We start from the raw sequence: 27,636 nt of genomic DNA on the forward strand, positions 1-27,636 counted from the left end.
AATAAAAAACAAAAACAAGCCTCTCTCCTACAGCACTCTCGTTTTGGCCATCTCCTGCTCGGCTGCCACTCTAATTGGACTTGAAGTGCTGCCTCCAGGAAAGTGACTCAAGAACCAGCTGGAGCAGAATGCAAATAAGCTGGTAGGGGAGAGAGCCCAGGGAAAGAAGATGAAACAAAAAGAAAAACAAAATTAAGGAGGAAAGGGGAAGAGGAGAACAGAGACCATCTGAGTATAGTTCACACTTTTTTTTTTTAAACAAATAAGAGGAGGTTCTAGTACATCATCAGGTTTTTAATAAGCAATCTGGAACCCCAGTAAGGGACAAATAAGACACTATTTACAAATAACTTTCTTTAAGCCAAGTGTACCTGTAAAACAAAGTTAAATGTACAGGTGCCTAAGAATGAAGTTCATAAAATGTAAAAGGTAAAAAGAGCCATATTAATGGTAACGTTTAATCTCTGTTTTTATGCTGTGGCTACTACAAGCATATTTTCCAAATGAAGGCTCATTTCTATGGTCTAATGGTCCCAGGAATATTATTTGGAGATGAAAATGACTAACTGCTGCATCAGTCAATTTGCAATGAAACAGGCTCTTGAAAGTTTAGGTTTGTGTTACCTGTTCCTTTTTTGAAAGTGTGTCAAGTCTGAGGGAGCACCTGACAACCACTGACTTGATACAAGCAGTCTGTCCAGGTCCTTTCCTCCATGTAGAAATAATGAAGCAAGACACACTCCCGGATACACACAAGAATAAATATTGACATTAACATTTATCTTTATAAGTGGGGAGGATCTGGCAAATTGCTATGAAGAATTCATTTCAGTAACTATTTGGACTAGTAAAGCTAACAGCTTTGAAAGGCTTAAAAATGATTTTACCCAGCCAGGTGTGGTGGCTCACGCCTGTAATCCCAACACTTTGGGAGGCCAAGGCGGGTGGATCACAAGGTCAGGAGTTTGAGACCAGCTTGGCCAATACGGTTAAACCCTGTCTGTACTAAAAATACAAAAATTATCCAGGCGTGGTGGCGCGTGCCTGTAGTTCCAGCTACTCGGGAAGCTGAGGCAGAGGAATCACTTGAACCCAGGAGGTGGAGGTTGCAGTGAGCTGAGATTGTGCCACTGCACTCCAACCTGGGCGACAGAGCAAGACTCTGTCTCAAAAAGAAAAAGATTTTACCCTTGGTATGCTATACAAAAATAACAATCATCTTTGTTTCTGAATCTTTTAATGAAAGCATGTTTGGGGTTTTTCTTCATTGCCTACTGAAAGGCTTTAAAAAATCTGTCTAAAGGACAAAGAAAACGCTTTCTATAAGAGCTGATAATGTTTTGCTATTTTAATGTCATTCTATCTCTCACACACATCAGATAGCCTGAAATGATTTCAAGGCTAGCCACAGAGAAGAACTGTACTCTACCTGATAGAGAGAGAACAAATAATCAGACTCTATGTCTACCTGGCCCACTGTGCATTTAAAGGAATGGGAACACTGCCTCGGAATGGTGACATGGCAACAAGCGGTCTCTTTTCACTGTTTGAAATATGATTTCATTGCCTACATTATTGGTCAGCAAGGTTTGACCTATTGGGACAGTAAAATAGTGAGAAAATCCCATATGAAATAAAAATGGGAAGTGCTGCTTTCCTGTGGAATGAGCTATTTCACCTTAACCTTGAAATACCAAAGAGAGGGATAATTATTTTGTTAAATACAAAGAAAAATATATCTGGTATAAAAGTATCTTTAAACTCTCCCTTTTTTTTTTTAACTATTTATGCTTAAGTGGGCTTACTTTTCTTTGTGCTGCAACTCTTTAAAAACACCGATGAAAACACATTCTTTCATTTAATAGATGATATTGAGGCCAAAACATTTTTTCTTTTGTAGTAATTCATCAATGTACCTGTGCAAAATCAGCAGCAAGTCGCATTTTCCCACCTTCACCAAGAGGTCTTATGAGACTGGCATGGCGGATAAAAAGTTCAACAGCTCTTTGGGCAATAGCCTCAGTGTTGTCAAAGACAAAATCCAAGCATTCAAAGTGTTTAAAATAGTCACTCATAACTCTGGCAATGAAACCTTGTAGCTCCTTCATGTACAGAGAACAAGGAACATCAGGTTTTCCTGAGCTGGATAATGACCTGTAAAAGAAAAAGCAGCCCTTTTCAGCACCGCTGCACTAAATCACACTCTTTGATTTTGTACCCCTCTCCCCACCAATGCTGCTATTTCAATCCTTTGTAATGTTTTCCCTTAATGGTATAAAAGACATTAATTACTTTTTGATAAGCGTTAGCAGAAAACAATGTTTAAAAATTACATTTCAAAAAGTGGTTTAGATGCCAGGAGGATTACTGAAGGAATTTTAGAATCCATTTACCTAAAGATTATTAAGAATGAAATAGACAACCATCTGTCTTGGATGAATCATACAAGTGCTACTCTCTGGCCTCTCAAGGTCCCTCCCAGCCTCTCAATTCTCCATCCACTCACATGTTTTGCCTGCTAACTGAATGCATCAATAATGGATCCTGAAATAGCATTTTATGCTTTGCAATGACAGAAAATGCTGCTTTCCCTATACAAATTCTTGGCAAAGATCTCTCTGCTCTTGTGCTATTTAATCAGATCAGTCCAACAGAATTCTGACTGTGGAAATGGTTATGTAACAGTACACATGGCATGCAGTTTTTTCCTCTAGATGATGAGGTTTGGAAAGGCTTTAATTTGGATCAACAAATGATACCAGCTGATGCTCCATGAAATACTATTTATAATTTATAAATGTTTATAATTGCTCTTTAAAGAATATATTAAAAGAATGTGAAATATTTATAGGAAAGAGATATACCAAAACTAGCTAACACCTGATATTTTCTAATAAATGAGATCACTGGCTACATCATGCTGAATCTTTTTCAAAAAGCAAGTTAAGTGTTTCCATATTCTGAGAATGACGTAGAGAAATTGGTGATGGTCTATAGAAGAACAACAGATATGACTAAAATGCTTAGAGCAAGAGAATGAGTTGAACTTAATTATCTTCAAATACAGCAGTGGTTACTATAAATAGGATGCTAACCAGAGGTCCGTCACTTTCAGAAGCAGATAGAGATAGAAGAAGTAGGCCTATGTTCCAGCAGGAAGGGATTTCATACAGGTATAAGACTGTGCCAACAACAGCAAGGCTGCTGAAGGGTGTATGGTGCAACATTTTTGTTTGCAGTATCATCACATGATGGAGTGGCGCTTGGGTACAGGGGAGCCTTAGTAAATGACGGCCATCTTCATGTGGGGTTTGGTTTTCCCAGATTCAGACAACTGCATAGCCTAGCTTTACTCTAGGTTTGTCACTCCACAAGGCCAGGCTGCAAAAACAAACAAATAAAAGAAGCCTCCCTATCCGAAAATGGTGCCAATCTATTTCATTTTTTTAATGTTTATTTTTGATGAATTATAATAATATATAATAAGGGGATACACAGTAATGTTATATGTATACAGTGTGGAATGACTGAATCAAGGTAATCATACTCATCACCTTAAATACTTATCATTTATTCCTCCTAACTGCAACTTTGTACCCTTTGACCAACATCTCTCTATTCCCTCCACCCCATAGCTGCTAACTGCCATTCTACTCTCTGTTTCTATGTATTCGGTTGTTTTAGACAACAGATATGTGAGGTCATGTGGTATTTGTCTTTTGGTGTCTGGCTTACTTCACTTAGCATAATGTTCTGTAGGTTCATCTATTTGTTGCAATTAACAGAATTCCTGTCTTTCTGAAGGCTGGATGGTATTCCATTGTGTATGTATACCACATTTTCTTTATCCATTTATCAATCTAAATGTTGGTGGACATTTAGATTGATTCCATAACTTGGCCATTGTAAGTAATGCTGCAATGAACATGGAAGTGCGTATATCTTTTGACATACTGATTTCAAGTTCTTAGGTTATGTATCCAGAAGTGGGACTGCTGGATCATGTGGTAGTTCTGTTTTTAGTTTTTTGAGAAACGTCCTTACAGTTTTCCATAATGGCTGCCTAATTTACATTCCAACCACAGTATACAAGGGTTCCCTTTTCTGTACATCGTCTTTCACACTCGGTATCTTTCATCTTTTTGATAAGTCAATTCTGACAGGTGTGAGGTGCAATCTCATTGTGGTTTTAATTTGCATTCCCCTGATGATTAGTGATGTTGAATGTTTTTTCACATATCTACTGGCCATTTGTATGTCTTCTTTTGAGAAATGTCTGTTCAGGTCCTTTGCCTATGTTTAAATCAGGTTGTTTTCTTGTTATTGATTTGAGTTCCTTATATATTTTGGACGTTAATCCCCGTATCAGATGTATGGCTTGTAAGTATTTTCCCCAATCCATAGGTTGTCACTCCACTTGTTTTCTTTGCTGTTCAGAAGCTTTTTAGATAAATGTAATCACATTTGTCTATTTTTGCTTTGTAGTCTGAGCTCTTGGGATCAAATCCAAAAAATTATTGCTCAGATTTTCCTGTTTTCTTAAATTTGTTTTAGTTTCAGGTGTTACATTTAAGTTCTTAATCTATTTTCATTTGATTTTCACATATGGTATGAGATAAGGGTCCAATTTCATTCTTCTGCATCTGGATATCCATTTTTACTAATACATATTTATTATTGAAGGAACTGTCCTTATTCCATTGAGTGTTCCTGGCACCTCTGTCGAAAATCAATTGACTATAAATGTGTGAGCTCATTTCTGGGCTCTCTGTTCTGTTTCATTGGTCAATGCCAGCGCACCATGCCATTTTAATCATCATGTAGCTCTGTAATATAGTTTAAAATTAGGTAGTGTGATACCTCTAGCTTTATTTTTGCTCAAGATTGCCTTGGCTATTCAGAGATTTTGGTAGTTCCATATGAATTTTAGGATTACTTTTTTCTATTTCTGTGAAAAATGACATTGGAATTTTGGTAGAGATTGCATTAAATCTGAAGGCTGGTTTGGGTAGTATGGACCTTTTAACAATATTCTTTCAATTCATGAACACAGAATATGTTTCCATTTATTTGTGTTTTTGTTGATTTCTTTCATTGATGTTTTATAGTTTTCAGTGTATAGATATTTTACTTGTTTAAACAAAATGCATTTTGTTTCCATTTTCATTTGTCCCAAGATATTTTTGATTTCTCCTTTGATCCACTGGTTGTTCAGGTGCATGTTGTTTAAGTTCCACATATTTGTGAAATTTCGAAGATTTCTCCTATTATTGATGTCTAGTTTCATACCATTGTCATTAGAAAAGATACTTGATTTCAGCTCCCTTTAATTTGTTCAGACTTGGTTTGTGGCCAAATAGAAGAATTAAACATACGCATAACCAAGAAGTGAATGTTAATCTTCATGCCACTAACCTTTTGTGTGAGTGCTCTCCCTTCCACAAAGGGGCTCATCTATCACTTTAATAATGTAGAGTTCTTCTTTCACTGCCTTCCCTTCCCTACTCAAAACTGTAATCAGATATGAGTCACTTTACATGGACTGCAACAATTTTAATCAATGTTCTATGTCAATCAGATATTTACATTTTAATTTTTGTCTAATTTGGAAAGAAACACGTCAGTCTTTTAAAATAAATTTCAAATACCAAGAAACCATGTTGATGATTACTCTTTACTTATTTATTTATTTATTTGAGACAGGATCTCACTCTGTCACTCAGGCTGGATGGAGTGCAGTGGCTCGATCTTGGCTCACTGCAACCTCTGCCTCCAGGGTTCAAGCGATTCTCCTGACTCAGCCTCCCCAGTAGCTTGGATTATAGCTGCCTGCCACCACCCCGGGCTAATTTTTGTATTTTTAGTAGAGACAGGGTTTCACCATGTTGGCCAGGCTGGTCTCAAACTCCTGACCTCAAGTGATCTGCCTGCCTCGGCCTCCGAAAGTGCTGGGATTACAGGCGTGAGCCACCATGCCCAGCCCATGATTACTCTTTAAATAGCAGGGGAGTCTGTAACCCTACCACATGTAAGTTAGACTTGAAGGTAAACTTTATTCCTTTTACTTAGGAATAGGTGTGGAGGGCTTGAAGGGTCAGGTTTTCACTATTGTTTTTCTAATTGTTATCCCTGGGGGCTGGCCCTAAAATAAAGGCAATTTCTGCTTCTTGACTAATCCAACTCCACCTCATATTTCACATAAGCCATATATATATGAAATGACATGCCATTACAGAATTACTAATCACAAGATTCTACAAAGTAGGAAAATTACTGCCATGGGGGCAATACTTTAAATAAAAGCAGCAGTGCTCCATATGCCTGTACTGCTATATATGAATAACTTTCACTGGAATCTCAACTGACTGCTGTATACATGAATCTCAAATGACTGTTGTATACACTGAGCTGAAATGGAGTCACCAAAGCAACTGGGAAAAAAAATACGGACAATGTTAGGCACCTTAAAATAATGCTTCATACTCATGGCAACCTATCAGTTGAAGAAACAGTTTGGCTCACTAGAATTTAAGCAAATTAGTAAAAACACATCTATTTGGGAACTAACTTTCAGCTGTTAATGTCTAATGTGTTATCTACAGGCACTAGTTGCAGCTCACCAATTAAATTAAAAGTATGTGACCACTGTTATTATAGAATAAGCCTTCAAAAATCAGCTTGTTTTGGCTCCCTTCTGAGAGGCATTCATGATTGATCTAACTGGGACACTTCAGATCACTTTTGAACAAAAACCATTTCCTCTCAAATATTGGTAATCAGCAGTTATATAATCCTATGTTATATTGAGTTCCAAATATAGTTTTTTTTTCGGTAGAATTCACTTTACCCTTCTGTGCTTCATATATATATATATATCTATATCCATCTATCTATCTATATATATATATATTTATTTTTTATTTATTTATTTTTTTTTGATACAGAGTCTCACTCTATCGCCCAGGCTGGAGTGCAGTGGCGCGATCTGGGCTCACTGCAAGCTCCGCCTCCGGGGTTCACGCCTTCTCCCGCCTCAGCCTCCGGAGTAGCTGGGACTACAGGCGCCCGCCACCACGCCTGGCTAATTTTTTTATATTTTTAGTAGAGACGGGGTTTCACCGTGTTAGCCAGGATGGTCTCGATCTCCTGACCTCGTGATCCGCCCGTCTCGGCCTCCCAAAGTGCTGGGATTACAGGCGTGAGCCACCGCGCCCAGCCTGTGCTTCATATATTTTTTAAAATAGAGACTGATCTTTCCTTTTTTTGAAACAGGGTCTTACTTTGTCATCTATCCTGGAGTGCAATGGCATGATTACGGCTCACTGCAGCCTCAATTCCTTCAGGCTGAAACCATCCCCTTGCCTTAGCTCCCCAAAGAGCTGGAACTACCGATGCACACCACGACACCCAGCTAATTTTTGTATTTTTTGTAGAGACAGGGTTTCACCATGCTGCCTAGGCTGGTCCTGAATTCCTGAGCTCAAGCAGTCTGCCCGCCTCAGCCTCTCAAAGTGCTGGAATTACAGGCATAAGCCACTGTGCCCAGCCTAGATTGATCTTTTGACATTTCCCACATTTCCCATGTGGGAGAGGTCAATATGGCCAATTAGAAGCAGCTAGTGTGCAGGGCTCTCATGGAGAGGAACAGACCCCTTCAACTGAAACATCCAGGTACTCAGGGACTAATCAAGGAAACAACCTGACCGACAGAGAATGAAGAAAAGCAAAACAGGACAACGCCTCACCCGGGAGCAACACAGAGCCAGGGGAACCCCCACTGCCCAGAAAAGTGCTTTCACTGGTGGTAACTCCAAGCACTGGAAAATCCGAGTCTACTAGGGACTGGAATGGGCCCCAAGCATACTGCAGCAGCCCTATGGCAAAGTGGCCAGACTGTTACATGGGTACCTGTTCCCATATCTCTTCACCGGGCAGGCCTGGGCCTCCAGCCATCCCCAGCCAGAGCTATCAAGCCAGTAGCAACTCAGCAACTCCAAGAGCAGAGCCTCCAGTGGCAGCTGAGAGCCTCTTTGCCACTGCCCCTGCAATGGAACTGCCCTTGTCACCCCTGGATTAATGAAGGAGCAAAGACCCTAAGTACCTTATCCACACCTCCAACAAGCTGCAGTCAACCCAAGGAGAGGAAACCAGTCTGTCTCCCACAGGTCCCCCTGCCTCTTACCCCACTGCTTGTCACCAGGAGAACCCCTGGCTTGGGCCCACAGCATAGACACTCCTTGCTAGGCCCACAGCTTAGACCCTCCCCCACTGGGCTGACTGCAGTGAGTGAGTGCTAACATGCATCTGTCTGGGGTGGAGCCCCCAGGAGACAAGCAAACGACCCTTGGCCACAGCCACTACTAAGATCCCCTCCTCTGCTGCCTCCGATTTGGGGAAGGAACACTGAGATCACCCTAGAAACCCATCTCATATGTAATGACACTCACAGGCTCAAAATAAAGGGATGGAGGAAAATATACCAAGCAAACGAAAAACAGAAAAAAGCAGAGGTTGCAGTCCTAATTTCAGACAAAACAAATTTCAAACCAGCAAACATCAAAAAAGACAAATAAGGACACTACATAACGGTAAGGGTTCAATTCAACAAGAAGATTTAACAATCTTATATATATATGGACCCAACACAGGAACACCCAGATTCCTAAAGCAAATTCTTAGAGACCTTCAAAGAAGTCTCGGCCTGGGGCGGTGGCTCACGCCTGTAGTCCCAGCACCTTGGGAGGCCGAGACGGGTGGATCACAAGGTCAGAAGATCGAGACCCTCCTGGCTAACACGGTGAAACCCCGTCTCTACTAAACATACAAAAAATTAGCCGGGTGCGGTGGCGGGTGCCTGTAGTCCCAGCTACTCAGGAGGCTGAGGCAGGAGAATGGTGTGAACCCAGGAGGTAGACTTGCAGTGAGCCGAGATCACGCCACTGCACTCCAGCCTAGGGGACAGAGCGAGACTCCATCTCAAAAAAAAAAAAAAAAAAAAAATCTCAAAGACCTTCAAAGACTCCCACACAATAACGGTGGGAGACTTCAGCACTCCAATGACAGTATTAGATAGATCATCAAGGCAGAAAATTAACAAAGACATTCAGGACCTAAATGCAACATTGGACCAAATGCAACTGATAGACCTTTACAGAACTCTCCATCCCAAAACAACAGAATACACATTCTTCTCATCACCACGTCACATACACTAATATTGACCTCATAATTGGACATAAAACAATCCTCAACAAATGTAAAAGAACATCAATCATACCAAACACACTCTCAGACCACAATACAATAAAAACAGAAGTCAAGACTATGAAAATTGCTCAAAACCATGCAATTACATGGAAATTAAACAACTTGCTCCTGAATGACTTTTGGGTAAATACATGAAATTAAGGCAGAAGTCAAGAAGTTCTTTGGGCTGGACGTGGTGGCTCATGCCTGTAATCCCAGCACTTAGGGAGGCTGAGGCAGCTGGATCCCTTGAGGTTAGGAGTTGGAGACCAGCCTGGCCAACATAGCAAAACCCTGTCTCTACTAAAAAAATTACAAAGATTAGCTGGGGTAGGGGTGGTGCGGGCCTGTAATCCCAGCTACTCAGGAGGCTGAGGCAGGAGAATCGCTTGAACCGAGGAGGTGGAGGCAGCAGTGAGCCAAGATCACGCCACTGCACTCCAGCCTGGGCAACACAGCAAGACTCCATCTCAAAAAAACAAAAAGTTCTTTGAAAATAACAAGAACAATGATACAACATATCACAATCTCTGGGACACAGCTAAGGCACTGTTAAGAGGAAAATTCATAGCACTAAATGCTGACATCAAAAAGCCAAAAAATCTCAAATTAACAACCTAACTTTACAACTTAAAGCATTAGAAAAGCATGAACAAATCAACAAAGTTAGCAGAAGATGAGATGTAACAGAAATCAGAGCTGAACTGAGGAAAACAGAGACATGAAAACCATTCAGAAGATCAATGAATCCAGGAGTAGGCTTTTTGAAAAAAATTAATAAAATAGGCCATTAGCTAGACTAATAAAGAAGAGAGAATATCAAATAAACACAATTAGACATGAGGAAGAAAATGTTACTACTGACCCCATAGGAAAAAAAAAATCAGAAACCTCTAAACCCAAAAAGTAGAAAACCTAGAAGAGATGGACACATTCCTGGACACATACACTCTCCCAAGACCCAGCCAGGAGGAAACTGATTCCCTGAACAGACTAATAATGAGTTCCGAGTTTGAATCAGTAATGAATTGCTGACTAACTAAAAAAAGTCTGAGGCCTGATGGATTCACAGCTGAATTTTACCATATGTAAAAAGAAGAGCTAGTACCATTCCTACAGAAACTATTCCAAAAAATGGAGGAAGAGGGGCTCCTCCCCAACCCTCATTCTATGAGGCCAGCATCATCTTGATACCAAAACTTGGCAGAGACACAGCGAAAAAAGAAAACTTCAGGCCAATCGAGTAGGCTTCATCCCCGGGACACGAGATTGGTTCAACATATGCAAATCAGTAAATGTGATTAATCACATCAACAGAGCTAAAGGCAAAAACCACATGATTATCTCAATAGACCCAGAAAAGGCTTCTGATAAAATTTAACACTTCTTCATGTTAAAAATTCTCAATAAATTAGGTATCAAAGGAACATACCTCAAAATAATAAGCACCATCCATGACAAATCCACAGCCAACATTACACTGAATGGGCCAAAGCTGGAAGCAATCCCCTTGAAAACCAGCACAAGACAAGGATGCCCTCTTTCACCACTTCTATTCAACACAGTATTGGAGGTCCTAGCCAGAGCAACCAGGCAAGAGGAAGAAATAAAGAGCATCTAAATAGGAAGAGAAGAAGTTAAGCTACCTCTGTTTGCAGATGACATGATTCTATATCTAGAAAACCCCATAGTCTTGGCCCAAAAGCTCCTTCAGCTGATAAACAACTTCAGCAAAGTTTCAGGATACAAAATCAATGCACAAAAATCACTAGCATTCCTATACATCACCAACAGCCAAACTGAAAGCTAAATCAGAAAGGCAATACCATTCATAATTGTCAAAAAAGAATAAAACATCTAGGAATACAGGTAACCAGGGAGGTAAAAGATCTCTACAATGAGAACTACAAAACACTGCTCAAAGAAATCAGAGAAGACACAAACAAATGGAAGAACATCCCATGCTCATGGATAGGAAGAATCAGTATGATTACAATGGCTATACTGCCCAAAGCAATCTTCAGATTCAATGCTATTCCTATCAAACTACCAATGATATTCTTCACAGAACGAAAAACAAACTATTTTAAAATTCAGATGGGACCAAAAAAGAGCCTGAATAGCCAAGGCAATCCTAAGCTAAAAGAACAAAGCTGGAGACATCACGTTACCTGACTTCAAACTAAACTACAAGGCTACCATAACCAAAACAGAATGGTACTGGTACAAAAACAGGCACATAGACCAATGGAACAGAATAGAAAGCCCAGAAATAAGGTCGCACATCTGTGACCATCTGATCTTCAACAATGCTGACAAAAGCAAGCAGTGGGGAAAAGATTTCCTATTCAAGAAATGGTGCTGGGCTAACTGGCTAGTCATACACAGAAGATTGAAACTGGACCCCTTCCTTACACCATACACAAAAATCAACTCAAGATGGATTAAATACTTACATGCAAAACCCAAAACTATAAAACCCTGGAAGACAACCTAGGCAATACTATCCTGAACAAAGGAATAGGCAAAGATTTCATGACAAAGACATCAGAAGCAATCACAATAAAAGGCAAAATTGCCAAGCGGGATCTAATTAAACCTAAGAGCTTCTGCACAGCAAAAGAAATTATCAACAGAGTAAACAGACAATCTACAAAAAGGGAGAAAATATTTGCAAACTATGCATCTGACAAAGGTCTAAGATCCAGAATCCATAAGGAACTTAAACAAATTCACAAGGGAAAAACAAACAACCCCATTAAAAGGTGGGCAAAAGACATGAACAGACACTTCTCAAAAGAAGACGAAGACATACATGCAGCCAGCAATCACATGAAAAAATGCTCAACACCACTGATCATTAGAGAAATGCAAATCAAAACCGCAATGAGATACCATCTCACACCAGTCAGAATGGCTATCATTAAAAAGACAAAAAAATAAGATGCTGGTGAGGTTGCAGAGAAAAGGGAACACTTATACGCTGTGGTGGGAGTGTAAATTAGTTCAACCATTGTGGAAGGCAGTATGGTGATTCCTCAAAGGGCTAAAAGCAGAACTACCATTTGACCCAGCAATCCCATTACTGGCTATATATCCAGAGGAATATAAATCATTCTACCATAAAAACATATGCATGTGCATGTTCATCGCAGCACTATTCACAATAGCAAAGACATGCAATCAACCTAAATGCCCATCAATGACATAGTGGATAAAGAAATTGTGGTACATATACACCATGGAATACTATGCAGCCATAAAAATAACAAGATCATGTCTTTTGTGGGAACATGGATGGAGCTGGATGCTATTATCCTCAGCAACCTATTGCAGGAACAGAAAACCAAATACTATGTGTTCTCACTTATAAGTGGGATCTAAATAATGAGAACTTACGAACACAAAGAAGGAAACAACAGACACTGGGGTCGACTTGACAGGGGAGGGTGGGAGGAGGGAGAGGAGCAGAAATGATAACTACAGGGTACTGGGCCTAATACCTGGGTGATGAAATAATATGTACAACAAATCTCCATGACACGTGTTTACCTATGTAACAACCCTTCACATGTGCCCCCAAACCTAATATAAAAGTTACAAAAAAATTAAAAAACTTTGTAAATGAAATAATAAGTTGAAAAAGTAGAGGACAGTGAAATAATATTTTTCTATAAATAGCTAAATTCATAGATGGAAATTTCATAAAACAGATATTCTTTAAAACAACAAGAATGTAAAGAGAAACAGGACTGCTCAAAAATAATAACTATGAACTTGGGAATATAAAATACATATCTACATATTAATATTTGAGTATTTAGCTTTAATGTGGTTAAGTTTTTTAAAAATCACAGCAAGCATTTGCAAATAACTATTCCAAATGCTCCAAAGTTTTCTAATACACTGAACCAAAACCATTTTACTCTATTTTAAAAGATTTCTGTAAATATTGGATTAGGAACTATGATTATTATTCTCAGGATACCTATGACATGGATGAGCAAGACACATATGAAACAGGTTTGGAATAACACCATAGTGTTTGTGGCTAGGTGTGATGTGATCAGATTAGATTGTCACATAACCTCCGAGGAAGAAAAATCAATCTTGGAGGAGGTTGGGCTGCAGCTTGCCCAGAGCCAAAGCAGGATTTGGACTAGCACAGTGGCAGAGGCAGGGCATTTTACACAAGGAATACCATGCCTATGCCAAGGGGTAACAAAGGGGCTGAAGTAGAGGGTATTTGTGAGAAGTAAGGAAAAAGACAAGCTTGGGAAGGGGAGATGGTACAAACTACCAAAAGTCCTGAAGTACCAGGCTAAGTCCCACAGACTCATTTTATGTTTCAATAAGAGAGAAATGTATGCACATGTAACGTGATACTGTTCATAAAGAAAAAGTTTTTAAAAAGAGAAGTGATGAAAACGAGAACTGAAAAATTTTAATCTGTGAATGGCGCTCACAATGGGTAATGAAGAGGGCTGAAAACTAATGCCATCACAAAAGGAACAAGGCCCTGGATGGCAGGGGGGCAGCTTAGGGAGTAAGCATAGAGGTGGGAATACAAAATAAAGGCAGTAAAAGTTAGTAAAAATTTGGTTAGAAGTAATTACCCAGAAAAGTCTTCTTGATGCATGGTGATGATTATGGCCTCTATAGCATCTCCCACAGAAGTGAGTAAGGGTTGCACAGCATTTTCCATAAGAGCATGAATAGCCTAAAAAAAAAAAAGAAAGAAAAAAAAGAAGAGGCAAGATTAAAGAAAAACAACCCAAAGAAATTTGAGATGTGAGAAACACCGTGACTAACAGTTTTCATATTATATCAAATGCAGACTAAGTTAACAGAAGTCTGCTCCTCTCCCTAACCACTGTCGGTAATGATTTTTAAAGCTTAAAATATGTGGAACATGGCACTAACAAATTTCAACACCCCCACTCTTCTTATTTTTTCCAAAAGGTTCAGTGGTTAAATAAGCCCATGAAAAAGGGAAGGCATACGCAAGAAGACAGTAGTTCCACTAATGAGGTAAAGGTCAAATGAACACATTTAAGTTTCACAAAAGAGTTAGGCAGGACCAAAAGTAATTATTTAAGAATTGGAACAACATCATATGCTTTTAACCAGAGTGAATATAATAAACAGACATTGATTCTTTTTTTTTAACTATTAGGTTCAAGGGTACATGTGCAGATTTATTATATAGGAGTTTGTTGTGTCATGGGGATTTGTAGTATAGATTATTTCATCACCCAGGCACTAAGCCTAGTACCCAATAGTTATTTTTTTCTGCTCTTTCCCCTGCTCCCACCTTCTACCCGCAAGTAGGCTCCAGAACAATGTTTCTAATAGGGCACAACAGTTGCGCATTTCATGAATTAGGTTTCAGTTGAGAGTTCTACAGCAGTGATTCTCAACTGTGGGCAGTTTTGTTCCCCAGGAAACATTTGGTATTGCTTAAAGACATTTTTCATTGTCACAGTTGGGGATGGGGGTACAAGTGTGTTACTAGCATCTAGTAGGTAGAGGACAAAGATGCTGCTAAACATCTTACGGAATACAGAACAGCCCCTATAACAAAGAATTACCCAGCTCAAAATGTTGATAGTGCCATGGTTGGGAAACTGTTCAACAGGGAGGTATAAATCATCATTTACTTGATGTAAAACCCTAGGTCTTAGTTATGGGCTTTTAGTGTGAAAATAATGACTGAGGCTCAAAACACGTAAAATCAAAAATGTAAATATATTATACACACTTCAAAGATAATATAATGAAGATAGATAGTTTTGGCTCATACAAATGATCAAAATCAATGAGCAAAGGTAAAATATAGGACCCTTAATCATTAAATTCCTAATCTATAACCCTTAATCTCTGGTAAAAATAAATATACAACGTACAGGATTGTGTGTGTGTGTGTGTGTGTGTGTGTGTGTGTGTGTGTGTGTGTGTGTATACATATAGTTTGCCCTCCATACAGGAGCTCAGAGTCTAGTGAGAATAGTTAAAACGTTATGCATGTTGAGTAACCCAAAATCCAAAATCTGAAAGTGTCCAGTGAGCACCTTCCTTTGAGCGTCATGTTGACACTAAAAAAGTTTCGGATTCCCAAGCATAGGAGTTTGGGAAAGCTGAGGCACTTGGGAAACCACAAGACATTCAGTATATATGGAGTATAAGTGCCTGGAAGAGACAGAGGCAGCAAGAGGTGTACTTTGTATAGGTTACTAAGAAGTTAGGAATTTATCCTAAAGGTACCAGGAAACCAATGATGGGTTTTAAGCAATAGACAAAATGTGGTTAATGATTTGGATTTAGGAAAAACCATGTTGGAGAGTAAACTGGACAAATTAGACTACAAAAAGGAGTACAACTATAAGGCCACGGCAGTGGTACAGAGCTGCTGGAGAGTGAGAGAGGGAGCTTGAAAAGGAGAGAGCCAGAGAAGACCGCCTAATTTTATGTTTAAACTCGGCACGAGTCTTCAGCTAACTATCAGTAATGCATGTGCAGAGCAAACTAAATGCGGCTTGCAACTGAGGCTTAAAGAAGTGAACTGACTGAGGTGTGGCCAACTGAAGGTATGACAGTACACAGTTTGAGTATAACCAAGCTAATTGCCTGTAAAGCAAAATCACCAACATGCTTATAAAAAAAGGTAAAAAAAAAAAAATCCTGTTTCTACACAACATAACATTCACAGTGTTCAGGATTTATTCAAAATTACTACACATATAAAATGCTAGGAAATTTTATCAATTCTCAGGGGAAAAGACAATCAAGAGATGCTTAACCCTGAGATGAACCAGACTCTAGAATTATCAGGCAAGAACCTCAATGAGGCAAGGAAAAATATGCACACAATAAATAAAATAATAGGAAATCTCAGTAGAGTGAATGAAAATGTAAAAAAAAAGTTATATTTAAACTTAAAAATTATAGTAGCTGAAATTGTAAAATTGACGGGATAGGCTTCGTAGAAGAATTATACGTAGAGATGACCAAGGAAAGAGTCAATGAACCTGAAGACAGAATTAACAGAAATCTCTCTGGAGAAGAGAAAAAATACTAAAAAATAATTAAACCTAAGAAAAAACTGCAAAATGTCTAATATACTGGTAACTGGAGTCCTGTAAGAAAAGAAAATAATGGGGCAGAGAGAGAATGAGGCAGCAAAACTACTCGGCAGGGAAAAAGGCCTCACGCTAATCAAAATAATGAAAAGCATGAATTTACAGATTCAGGAAAATCAGCAGATCCCAAACAGGATAATTTTGATGAGAACTATGCCTAGGCACATCATAAACTGTTGAAAACCAAAGATAAACAGAAAATCTTGAAACTAGCCAAAAAAAAAAAAAAAAAAAGATTACATACAAGGGAACTAATTTTAATAAGTAATGTCTTCTTATCAGAAAGCATGGAGGCCAGAAAACAGTGGAACATATTTTAAGTGCTAAGAGAAAAACATCTTTCAAACCCATATTTCTATTTTCTGTATAAACATCCTTCAAAGATGAAAGTGAAATACATTTCTGGCAAAAGAAAATTAGGAGTGTTCTTTGCCATCACACTCACATGATAAACTTTAATTTAAGCTCATCAGATTTTAAATGATGATTTAAAATAATCATTAAAAATCATCATTTGGCTGCTCTGCCTATGAAGTATCCATTCTTTTGTTTCTTTTCTTAATAAACTTGCTTTTACTTAAAAAAAGGTAAAACCATCAACATTTAATTCTGTTATCAGAATTAAATTAGAAATCAGTAACAAGATATATGCAGAACCCAAAAGTAATTAGAAATTTTAAGAACACATTTCTAAATAATCCATGACTCAGATAAGAAATCACAAAGGAAATTAGAAAAATATTTCAAACTGAATGAAGATACAAGTATAACACAGAAAAATTGCAGTGCTTAGTGGAAAATTTACAACGTTAAATGTTTATTTGTGGGGAAAATGGTCTAAAATCAATGATGTAAAGTCTCAAGTAAATCTTAAAAAATAGCAAAGAAAACTCACAAATCCAAAGATAAACAGAAAGTATTGAAACTAGCAAAAAGTAGAAAATAAAGAAAGATAAAAGCAGAAATCATTGAAACAGAAAACAGAGAAAACTAGTAAAGTTAAAAGCTGTTTCACTGAAAAAATTAACACAGTTGCTAAACTCCTAGCTAGATTGATCGAGAAAAAAACAGGAAGAGAACACAAATCAACAATATCAAAAATGAAAAAGAGGTTATTCTTATAGGTCCTAAAGACATCAAAAAGATAGTTAAGTGAGCTCAGCACAGTGGTTTATCCCTGTAGTCCCAGCCACTTCAAAGGCTCAAGCAGAAGGATCCCTTGAGCCCAGAAGTTCAAGGCTGTAGCACGCCATAATCGTGCCAGTGAATAGCCACTGCACTCCAGCCTGGGCAGCACAGTGGAACCCTGTCTTTAAACAAACCAACCACAAAAGGATAGTAAGTATTACACAGATTATTCTGACAAATTAGATAACTAAGATGAGTAGACAAATACCTTCAACATCACAAAGTATCAAAGCTCATTCAAGAAGAATAGATAACACAAATAGCCCTTTCTCTATTAAATGAATTAATGTGTAGTTATAAGCCTTTCCACAGAGAAAACTACAGACCCAGATAGCTTCACTGGTGAATTCTACTAAACACTTGAGGAAGAAAAACAAAAACAAAAACAAATTCTACACAAACTCTTCTAGGAAACAGAAGAGGAGGAAACACTTTCAAACTCATTTAGTGAAGCCAGTATTAACTTGCTACCAAAACCAAATAAAGACATAGAAAATTTTATGACAATATACCTTATGAATATAGATGTAAGTAAGCATCCTTAACAAAAATTAAGTAAATCAGTATCCAGGAATACATAAAAGGATACATTAAGTATCCAGGAATACATAAAAAGGGTAATACATCATGACTAAGGTTGGTTTGATATTTGAAAATAAATTACTATAATATACTTCATTAGCAGAATAAAAGAGTAGAGCCATATGATTATTTCAATAGATGCAGAAAAAGCTATTTAATGAAACTTAACACCATTAATAATAAAAAATAGAAAACTAAGAATAGAAGGGAACTTGTTTAGTCTGACAAAGGCCTTCTATCAAAAACCTACAGCTAACATTATTATATCATTAACCTATAGCTAATACTATACTTACAATAGTAAAATACTGAATGCTTTACCCCCAGGTCAGAAACAAGTAAATGAGGTCCATTCTTACCAGTTCTATTCAACACTGTACTGCAGATCCTGGACAGTGAAACAAGGCATGGAAAAACAGGCATAAAGATCAGAAAGTAAGAAATAAAAATCCCTATTTGCATAAGATATGGTGGTTTACATAGAAAACTTTATTGCTGGGTGAGGTTTCCCACTTAGGAAAAATATGAAATAGGAAGAGAAGAGAGCATCTTGGGGAATGCCTTCATTTCAAGGATGGGTAGAAACTAACAACTAACAAGGAAACTGAGAAAGGAGATTAGATTATATTTCCTATGCTCTTTACAAAGCAGGGAAATATGTTATACATTTTAAAAAGATTTACCTAAAATAGTTAAAATTACAAAAATATTGGAGCCTCAGCAATCTGGAATATTCCTTTATATAGAACATCAAACCCACACAAAAAGGGAGAAAGAAGCATTGCCATATATAAATTTGGCAATGTAATCACTATCTGCACAAGACAAATCTCAGTAAAAAATGGATCAGAATTACTGGACCAAGGGGTTTAAATGGTACTTATATAGCTATGGTGGTTATAATGAAATAACTCTAAATGTATACTCAATATTAATTATGTCATTCATAACATATTAGACAATGTTTAGAATATGTGATGATGGAGACTCTGCATCTGCTCTCCACCCAACCCCTGCTCTGCTCGCTCTCCAACTTCACTCCTGCTCCTTTACTCTCACTCACTCTGCTCCAGCCACTCGGGCCTCCTGGCTGTTCTGTGACTATTACAAGCCTGTCCAATTCAGGTCTCTATTCCTGGAACACTTGCCCCAGATGGCTGCTTGGCTCACTCCTTCACTTCCTTCAGATTTTTGCCAAAATGTCTCTTGATTGGAGAGGCCTATATAAAATAGCACTTTCCTTCCATCCCCATTCTCTATCCTTTACTGTGCTCTATTTTTCATCATAGCGCTTATCACCACTGGGCTCCTCACTACAATAAAAGCTCTACATGGGAAAGGACTTTATTTGTGACTTTCACTGTGTATCACTAATACCTGGCATGTGACAGACAATAAATATTTTTGAATAAATGAAAAAAAAGAATACGTAATGATGAACCTCAAGCCTAAAATAACATTTAATTTTGGATAAAATCTCAAGGTAGAGAAGAAAGGACTGTTATATGTCTATATCTATATTTTTCAGTAAGTTAAAAAGTATGTTTAATATCTTCTCTATGAAATAAAATCAAGCAGATTTCTGGGTTGGGCTGCAGGCATTTATACATCGTAACTCTCTACCTTGAATTCAAAGTGACTTATTAAATTTCCAACAATTTTATGAAATTCAACATTCCTTTTTATTCTAAGTCAGGTTTTTTTTTTACTTTTTACTTAATAAGTCATAACAGTTTTTTATAAGACTTAAATAGCAAAGTTAAAACTTTCACTGAGTGTATTAACATGAGCAATGAAGTCTCTAACTGATGAGGCCACTGCAGGAGGGCCTTGTACTTACTGCTAGTCTTCTGTTATCGAGTTCGAAAAGGCAAAATTGGTATGCCTTAGCAAAGTACAGACCCAGCTACACACAGCACTGGTCCTGGTAAGCAAACCTCAGAGTCACGGCTGCAGCCCAAGATTAGGGCAATTTTCCCTGCACTGACTCCAGCTAATATATTAAAAGAATAATCTTTGTTGTCTGTCAAAAATAAAGATTCAGAGAAACTACCCTATACTGAAATACAGTCTATGAGTAATTTCTATTTTTAACTCTCCAAGTGATTTTTATCATCAAAGTGAAGGCACTCTGTCTTAATCCAGAGAATGGACCTTCTGAAACTGTGGGTTGTGTCTGACCATTAGAGGTCAAAAAAATCATTTCAGTGGGTCAGTATCGTAATGTTTTAAAAAGTAATAGACTAGCATAGAAAATATTAGAATGCGTACACAAAATAAGGATAAGTATTACTTTGTGAAACTTCTGTATCAATTATGTGTATAGAAGTACACTTTATGCAATTACATATGTAGGTATATATTTATAAATGCTTATTACGTATGAGGGCACAAAGTAAAATGTACTGATTTTGGGTAGTTATCAAAAAAATGTTTGATAGTTACTGCTAGAAGAAAAAAATGTGGAATTATAGAAGAGTATCCATTCCCGGTCTGGAACCAAGAATGTTAAGACTTTAAGATTTGTCATATTGACCTGATTTTATGATCATTGATACATATGCCAACCTTACTAAAAACAATTATTTTATTATGGAAAAATATTTTAAAGCACATTAGGGGAAAAAGGGATATAGAGAAAACATACAAGTATACTTCTAATACACTGGGGGAAAATAGACTGTCTCCTTCTCTTACCCTCAATGAATCAAATCCATTCATATATGAATTTAGTGTCCTTACATTTTGGTGCCTGTTAAATCCTCATTCCCTGTAAATTCTAAAGCATTTGACTTTAGAAGCTCCCTTCCCCTTTAGGATTTGTGACACAGTATTCTCCTAATTTTCTTCCTTCTTCTGATTGTTCTTTCCTTGTTTGCTCTTTTCTCTAAATATGTGTTTCTCCATAGGATTTACTTGTAGACTTTCATCTCAATTTTAAAACTCTCCCTTAGAGATGTAAATCCAATCTAATAGTTAAAATTTATTACTCTTGTGTAGGCTTATTGTACCATTTTATAGATGCAGAAACTAAGGCAAGAGAGAGCTTATTTACTTGTTTGAGGTCATATAGCTGGTTAAATAGCTGAGATAGGATTCATATACAGGTAGTTTGGCTCCAAAGTCTACGCTTTATGGCCTTAGTTACTTACTCGCCAAGTACTAAATAAATATTTAGCAAATAAAGGAAAGATGGTGGCAAGGTGTAGTAGACATAACTCTTCAGAGTTAATGAGGTCTGCATTTACCAGCGATATGACCTTGAGCAAGATATTATTTCTAAGATATATAAAGTGGGAACACAAATACGTAACTTGAAGGGTTGTAGTAATATTTCAAAATGTGCCTCTCTAGTACTCTTGATAATATGCTTGTTTTTAAAAGAGATACTGTCAACTACATATGGCTCTGAATCTCATACCATTATTGTTTATGCAATTTCCTAAATAATAGAAAGGGGGTATAGTTATGTTTGTATAGAAAAAATGAGAATATATTCTGGTTTTATGCCTCAGTTTAAAGTAGGGTTTCTCAACCTTGGCATTACTGACATTTTGGACTGGGAAATTCTGTTATGAGAGAGGGGTGGGCATTGTCCTATGCATTGCAAGATGTTCAGCAAAATCCTTGGCCTCTACTCACTAGATGCCAGTAGCATCTCTACCATGTCATGACAATCCAGAATGTCTCCAGATGCTGTCAAATGTCACCTGGGGACAAAATGATTCTGCTGGAGAACCACTGCTCTACTGGAATAATACTGGGTTGTACTGCCATTAGATAAATACATGTAAGACTTTTGCTTCTATGTACACAACTGTCATAAGTAGAACACAATCTGTAGACACCAAAAGGGTCTATTTTTAAATTCTAGAAAACATAAACACACTTGTTATCTATTCTCTTTAGGATAATTATCAACATGCTACTTTTGTATATATAGAGGATTCTGAATTATTATAAAATGTGACATTGCCCACTCAGCAAAACAAATAATCCTAAAACCACTTTGATCTATAGAGTCAAAGATTAAATTCTTTTACCTTTAGAGCTGAAATTATAGTTTGCTCAGCTGCCAGTGGGAATGAGCTCTGACTGGAAACAACCTAGAACAAGGTTTTGATCCAGTTATAGTTTCGCTTAAGTCTATTTCTGTAAATACTAATTTTGATCATAGCATAATAAAGCTGTTTCCACAAAGTATATATACAATATTATCATTGCTTTACAGTAATATCTTATACATGATTTTAAAAATCAGTATTTATTAAGATAGGTTGAAAAATAATTTTGTGTATAAAGCAAACACATACTTCAAATAACATTAATAAATACTAAGAGCTAGGTTTCCTTTATTCATGTTACATAGGTTTTAATTATAAAGTTTTAACTTGAAAAGGTCAGAATAAAGCCATATTTACTCATTTCTTTCACTCATGTCTTTAGGCTGACTCTGATTTCCAACAAGTCTTTAAAATAAAAATGTCAGCATTTCAATTTTTACAAATCAATACAAACATCATGAAAATTTTGAAAATATCAATAAAGACATTTAAAGCAGGCTAGATAGAACACAATCTTTCCTTGCTTGTGGTGCTTTGGAGTAATGATTAAAGAAAATGGAAAATACATCATTTAGTGTTTTTTAATAATTTTTACCCTTCTGAGATTTACCTGTTAATAACTCTTTAACATGTATTTTGTTTAATGTGTAAAATACACATTTTTAGAAACCGCTAATTGATAAAAGGACTTGTTAAAATCTTTAAATAAGTGAGTAATAGTCACTTAGAATTATTCTAAAACACAATCTAGTATATTAAAGCTTATACTATAAGTCAAGTTTTCAAGAACATCATTTAACCATTAGCTTTCTTCAGGTCTCCTAAATTATTATCTTCCCATTTATAAAATATTTCAAAAATGACCTATAGAGAATAATTAAGCACAAGCTACTCCAGAGTCACAGATGGACTTGAAAGTGTTGCTTTTTTAGTAATTAACAATACAGTTCACCTTAGACATAATATATGAAGACAAACAAGGTTCAGCCATTTCTTTCAAATTTCTAGTAGAAAAATAGCAAAATGAATACATGTTATCTATGTGTAAGCAGTCATCAGTGATTATATCATAAAAATTCAGTTTTGAATACAGCTCCTCCCTGACTTTTTAATGCAAAGATATTAATAGAACATTTTTGACATGTTGGAGGGCTTCAGCATTCTTATTCTGTCATTAGCTTTGCTATAATTTACTACCATCCACAGTGTATCAAATTACATGTTTCAATAAGTATGAAATATGTATGATCTGTCCTCCAATAATTTGCTCAATAAACTTAATTAACTTGAGGAGCTATAGTTCATGTGTTTTAAACTGAATGTACAAACAAAAAGTCATACAAACAACGAAGGCCAGAGTCAAAGACTGTTTAAAAGAGTTAACTCCTTAGTTTATTTTATAATCATCACATTTTCATTGTATTCTTTTCCAAAGTACTAAATAACAATTTGTAAACTGTCCAAATTTGAGGCAAGAAGAATTTAAAATTAAGTAAAAAAAAACTTAATAAAATAGTTACCTTTGTTACTGATTGGTGCAACTTATACAATGAATTCACTACTGCCACATTTCTTCTCTGTCCTTCAGTAAGAGGCCCAATCACCTGACTTGCATCTCCTTGTGTGGAGAGCTGTAAGAATTCAATTTCAAAAGAATGTGTCAGAATGATAATTCTCTCTCTCTCTCTCTCTCTCTCTCACACACACACATACACACACACACACACATTCTTTAACCGGGGAGAAGTTCATGCCCCTCTGACAAAGAGAATGTTAACTGGAAATATTCAGGTCAACTTAAAGCTTTGGACTTGAGGTAAAACCAGCAATCTGTGTAGAGAAAACACCATGGATGTGGAAGCACAATTGGTCTTGCACGGGAAGAACAGCTCCATTTATACTTCACAGCTGATGGACTCTTGAGGCAGGTGTGACCCAAATGCCCCATGTGTGCTATTATTTTGATATAATAACATAGTAATCCTAAGGAATACCTTCCGGCAACTGCCAGTTGGGCTCTTTCTATTCAAATGCTCAGAAATAAGCCCGCAAAAAAAGGGAGGAGGAAAGGAGAGAAGAGAGAGACGGGAAGGAGGGGGAAAGGGGATGGCTAGACAGAGAAATAAATAAAAATAAACCTAAATCCCATGTATATTTGATAGGCATCCTAATACACTAATGAAATGAATTGTGCAAAGAGGGTATTACTATGATTTTTTATAGATTAAAAAAAAGCCCAAAATTATACTGTGTATAGATGATCAGTAGACGTGGTATTAAAAACTTTCTACACTTGACCTTTAATTTACTTCTAAATTCATGAGTTTTAGGGAAACGGACATGGAATGCTTTATTGAGTTAATCTCTTAACTGTCATGGTTCAAATTTAAGAAAAAAAAAATATCAACCATTCTCATATTGATCAGATTTTAATCCAATCCTTTATAACAATTATTATTTAAAGATAAATTAAACTTGATCAGGACATAGAAAGTATAACCAGGTTAAACAACTCCAATTTATTTTGACTTTCCTCATGGACAAAGATAATCACAATTGCAATCAAGCTGTGTTCTAAGGTGGTGGCCTGAAAATATATTTATTTTCCTGTAGAACTACCTTAAAAAGATAATGCTTAACCACTTAGAAGAGCCCACAAAATCCAACTTAATCAATAATGTGGTGAACTAATACTAACAGAAGCTCTGACCTCCCAAGAGAAAGCAAATGATGGGCTCTGTGCCAAGGTGAGGAGGTGGAGAGGCTCCTGAATAAGGCACTCTGGAAGTGTAAGTGGCCATGGTGAGTGGCATCGGTGGGTATGGCAGACTCGGGGCAGGGGGGGTCAAATGCTAAACATACATCTGACTATAATGGGCATTTAAAAGTTACAAGCTCTAGCTGTACAATTTAAAAAATCCAACCTCTCTTACTTCTCTTGAGATTCTCTTCAATCAATTTTGAAGAACAAAGAAATGGGAAAGGGGAAGAATTTTTATGTTATTTTATTTCAATTTGTTTTGTGTGTTCAGTATTTAATGAGTAGATATGCTTGCTGCTAGAAAAGGGTGGAGATCCTTTATTATTGAGGACTGATCATATTTTGGGGGTTTCAAAGTATAGACAGGTCCAAGTCACACCCAATAGGATGCTATAATGAGGAAGACAGGTAATAACAAATGCTGGCTAGGATGTAGAAAAACTGAACCCTCATACATTGCTGGTGGGAATGTAAAATTGGAGGAGCTGCTTGGAAACAATCTGGTCTTTCCTCAAAGGTAGATACAGAGTGACCATGTGACACAGCAGTTCAACTCCTAGTGATATATATATATATATATGAAATAAAAACATGTTTACACAAAAATCTGTACACAAATATTCATAGCAGCATTTATTCATAATAATAAGAAAATAGACACAATGCAAATGTCAACCAACTGACAAATAAAATGTAGAATATCCACGCAATGGAACATTACTTAGCAACACAAAGAAATAAAGTTCTGATACATACTACAACATAGGTGAATTCTGAAAACATTATTCTATGTGAAAAAACCAACCATAAAAGCCACATATTAAATGGTTACATTTATATGAAATATCCAGATTAGGCAAATCTACATGGGCAAAAGTTGATTGGAAATTGCAGTGGGGCAGTGGGGTATATGAGGAGTGAGTGCTAACTGGTATGAAGTTGCTTATTAGGGTGATGAAATGTTTTAAAATTGACTGTGAATATACTAAAAACCACTGACTTGTACACTTTAATGGGTGAGTTATACGACATGTGAATTATATCTTAATAAAACTGTTTTTTAAGAAAGCATAGAAAAAATCCCAGGATTCCAAGGTTATCGACTGATGCTCTGTGAACCTTGTGAAAATGAAGGTTAAGAGAAGATGACTTAAGTTCAAAAGACCTACAAAGCTACATAAAAAAAATTATAGTTTTGGGTACAAAATATTATTGATATAAAAGAACTAAAAATGAAACGTCATCATGCCAAAAACAAAGAACAAAATAAAAATATCAAAGTGAAAAAATGTAAGTCTCCAAAAGACTGGAGATGTAAATAATCTGCTGCTTATCCTGATTTTACCGCCCAGAATATAATCAGTCCAAGTCCAATAGTTAGCTAAGTGGATGACCTTGTGTTTCTCTCCAACACCACTCTTGTCATAGTTTTTTTGTTTGTTTGTTTTTGTTTTTTTTTTAGGAAATATAGTCTCCCCTCAGTATACAAGGAGGATTGGTTCCAGGACCGTAACACCCACCCGTCACCTAAATCCACGCATATTCAAGTCCCACGGTGGGCCCTGAGGAACCCGCGTACAGGAAAAGTTGGCTCTCTACATATGCAGGTTTTATATCCTGTGAATAGGGTATTTTTGATCTGCCTTTGGTTGAAAAATATCTGTGTATAAGTGGACCTATGCAACTGTAATCTCAAATTTACAGAAAGTTACAAAAATAAAAACAGTACAAGGAATACTGTATGTTCTCTATCTGGATTTACTGATGTTACATTTTATCCTGTTTGCTTTATCATTTGTATTCTCTCTCTCTCTCTCTCTCTCTCAGATACAGGAACGTGCATAATTTGTTTTCTGAATTATACATACATTATGGCCCTTTACCCCTAAATATTTCAATGTGTGTATTTCCTAATAAGAATATTTTCTTACAAAACCACAGTTGTTATCAACTTCACAGATTTACATCGATGAAATATTTTTATCTGGAATCAGCCATGTCTCCAAAGAGTTCTGGTTCCTTTTAGTGGAAAATGGAATTAGAGACAAAGATCTGGGCACTAGGTTTGCTCATTGCTGTTGACCCTGCAATACTTCTTGATTAAATCAATATTCAAATAGATGATCCTTCCAATACAATGGGCTCTCGATTCCTTGTCCTCTTCTCCTTCAACAATCTTACTGTTTACTCCAACTCATTTATCTTCTTCCATGGTCACACTCTATAATCTTGCCATTATAATGACTGAACTCTCTCTCAAATCTGAGTTCAAGTATGCTACTCTCAGGCTGCCATTTCAAATCTTTCCCTTTGATTTTACTTATTTTTAATTTTAATTTCTGTAAGTACACAGTAGGTAGATATATTTATGCTTCTCTTTGATTTTTTTTTTTTTTTTAAAGATAGGCTCTCTGTCACCCAAACTGGAGGACAGTGGCATGTTCTTGGCTCACTGCAACCTTCACCTACTGGGTTCAAGTGATTCTTGTGCCTCAGCCTCCTGGGTAGCTGGGATTACAGTCATGCGTCACCATGCGTGGCTAATTTTTGTATTTTTAGTAGAGATGGGGTTTTGTCATGTTAGCTAGGCTGGTCTTGAACTCCTGGCCTCAAGTGATCCACCTACCTCAGACTCCCAACATGCTGGGATTACAGG

The 27,636-nt window shown here is 36.9% G+C and overlaps 1 protein-coding gene across 10 annotated transcripts in view, besides 1 other annotated feature; it reads right to left on the minus strand.

Moving 5' to 3' along the window:
- Positions 1 to 27,636, minus strand: part of COG5 (component of oligomeric golgi complex 5) — a 362,549-nt gene that overhangs the window by 33,162 nt on the left and 301,751 nt on the right. For 6 of the 10 annotated variants that reach the window (NM_001379516.1, NM_001379515.1, NM_001379511.1 and 3 more), the window contains 4 exons: positions 23,740 to 23,850; positions 22,199 to 22,261; positions 13,863 to 13,966; positions 1,917 to 2,154 (listed from right to left, as the gene is read on the minus strand). In NM_001379516.1, coding sequence (NP_001366445.1) covers positions 1,917 to 2,154; positions 13,863 to 13,966; positions 22,199 to 22,261; positions 23,740 to 23,850 — 516 coding nt within the window. Of the gene's footprint in view, positions 1 to 1,916; positions 2,155 to 13,862; positions 13,967 to 22,198; positions 22,262 to 23,739; positions 23,851 to 27,636 lie in introns of those variants that run through there. The other 4 variants (NM_181733.4, NM_001379514.1, NM_001379512.1 and 1 more) reach the window with 4 other exon arrangements.
- Positions 23,697 to 23,897: a silencer, noted in NCBI's record as "peak6677 fragment used in MPRA reporter construct". NCBI's record gives its function as "represses an SCP1 promoter by STARR-seq MPRAs in K562 erythroleukemia cells {active_cell/tissue: K562}" and the evidence as "EXISTENCE:reporter gene assay evidence [ECO:0000049][PMID:32103011]".

Source organism: Homo sapiens, chromosome 7 (assembly GCF_000001405.40).
Source record: "Homo sapiens chromosome 7, GRCh38.p14 Primary Assembly".
Classification (NCBI taxonomy): Eukaryota; Metazoa; Chordata; class Mammalia; order Primates; family Hominidae; genus Homo; species Homo sapiens.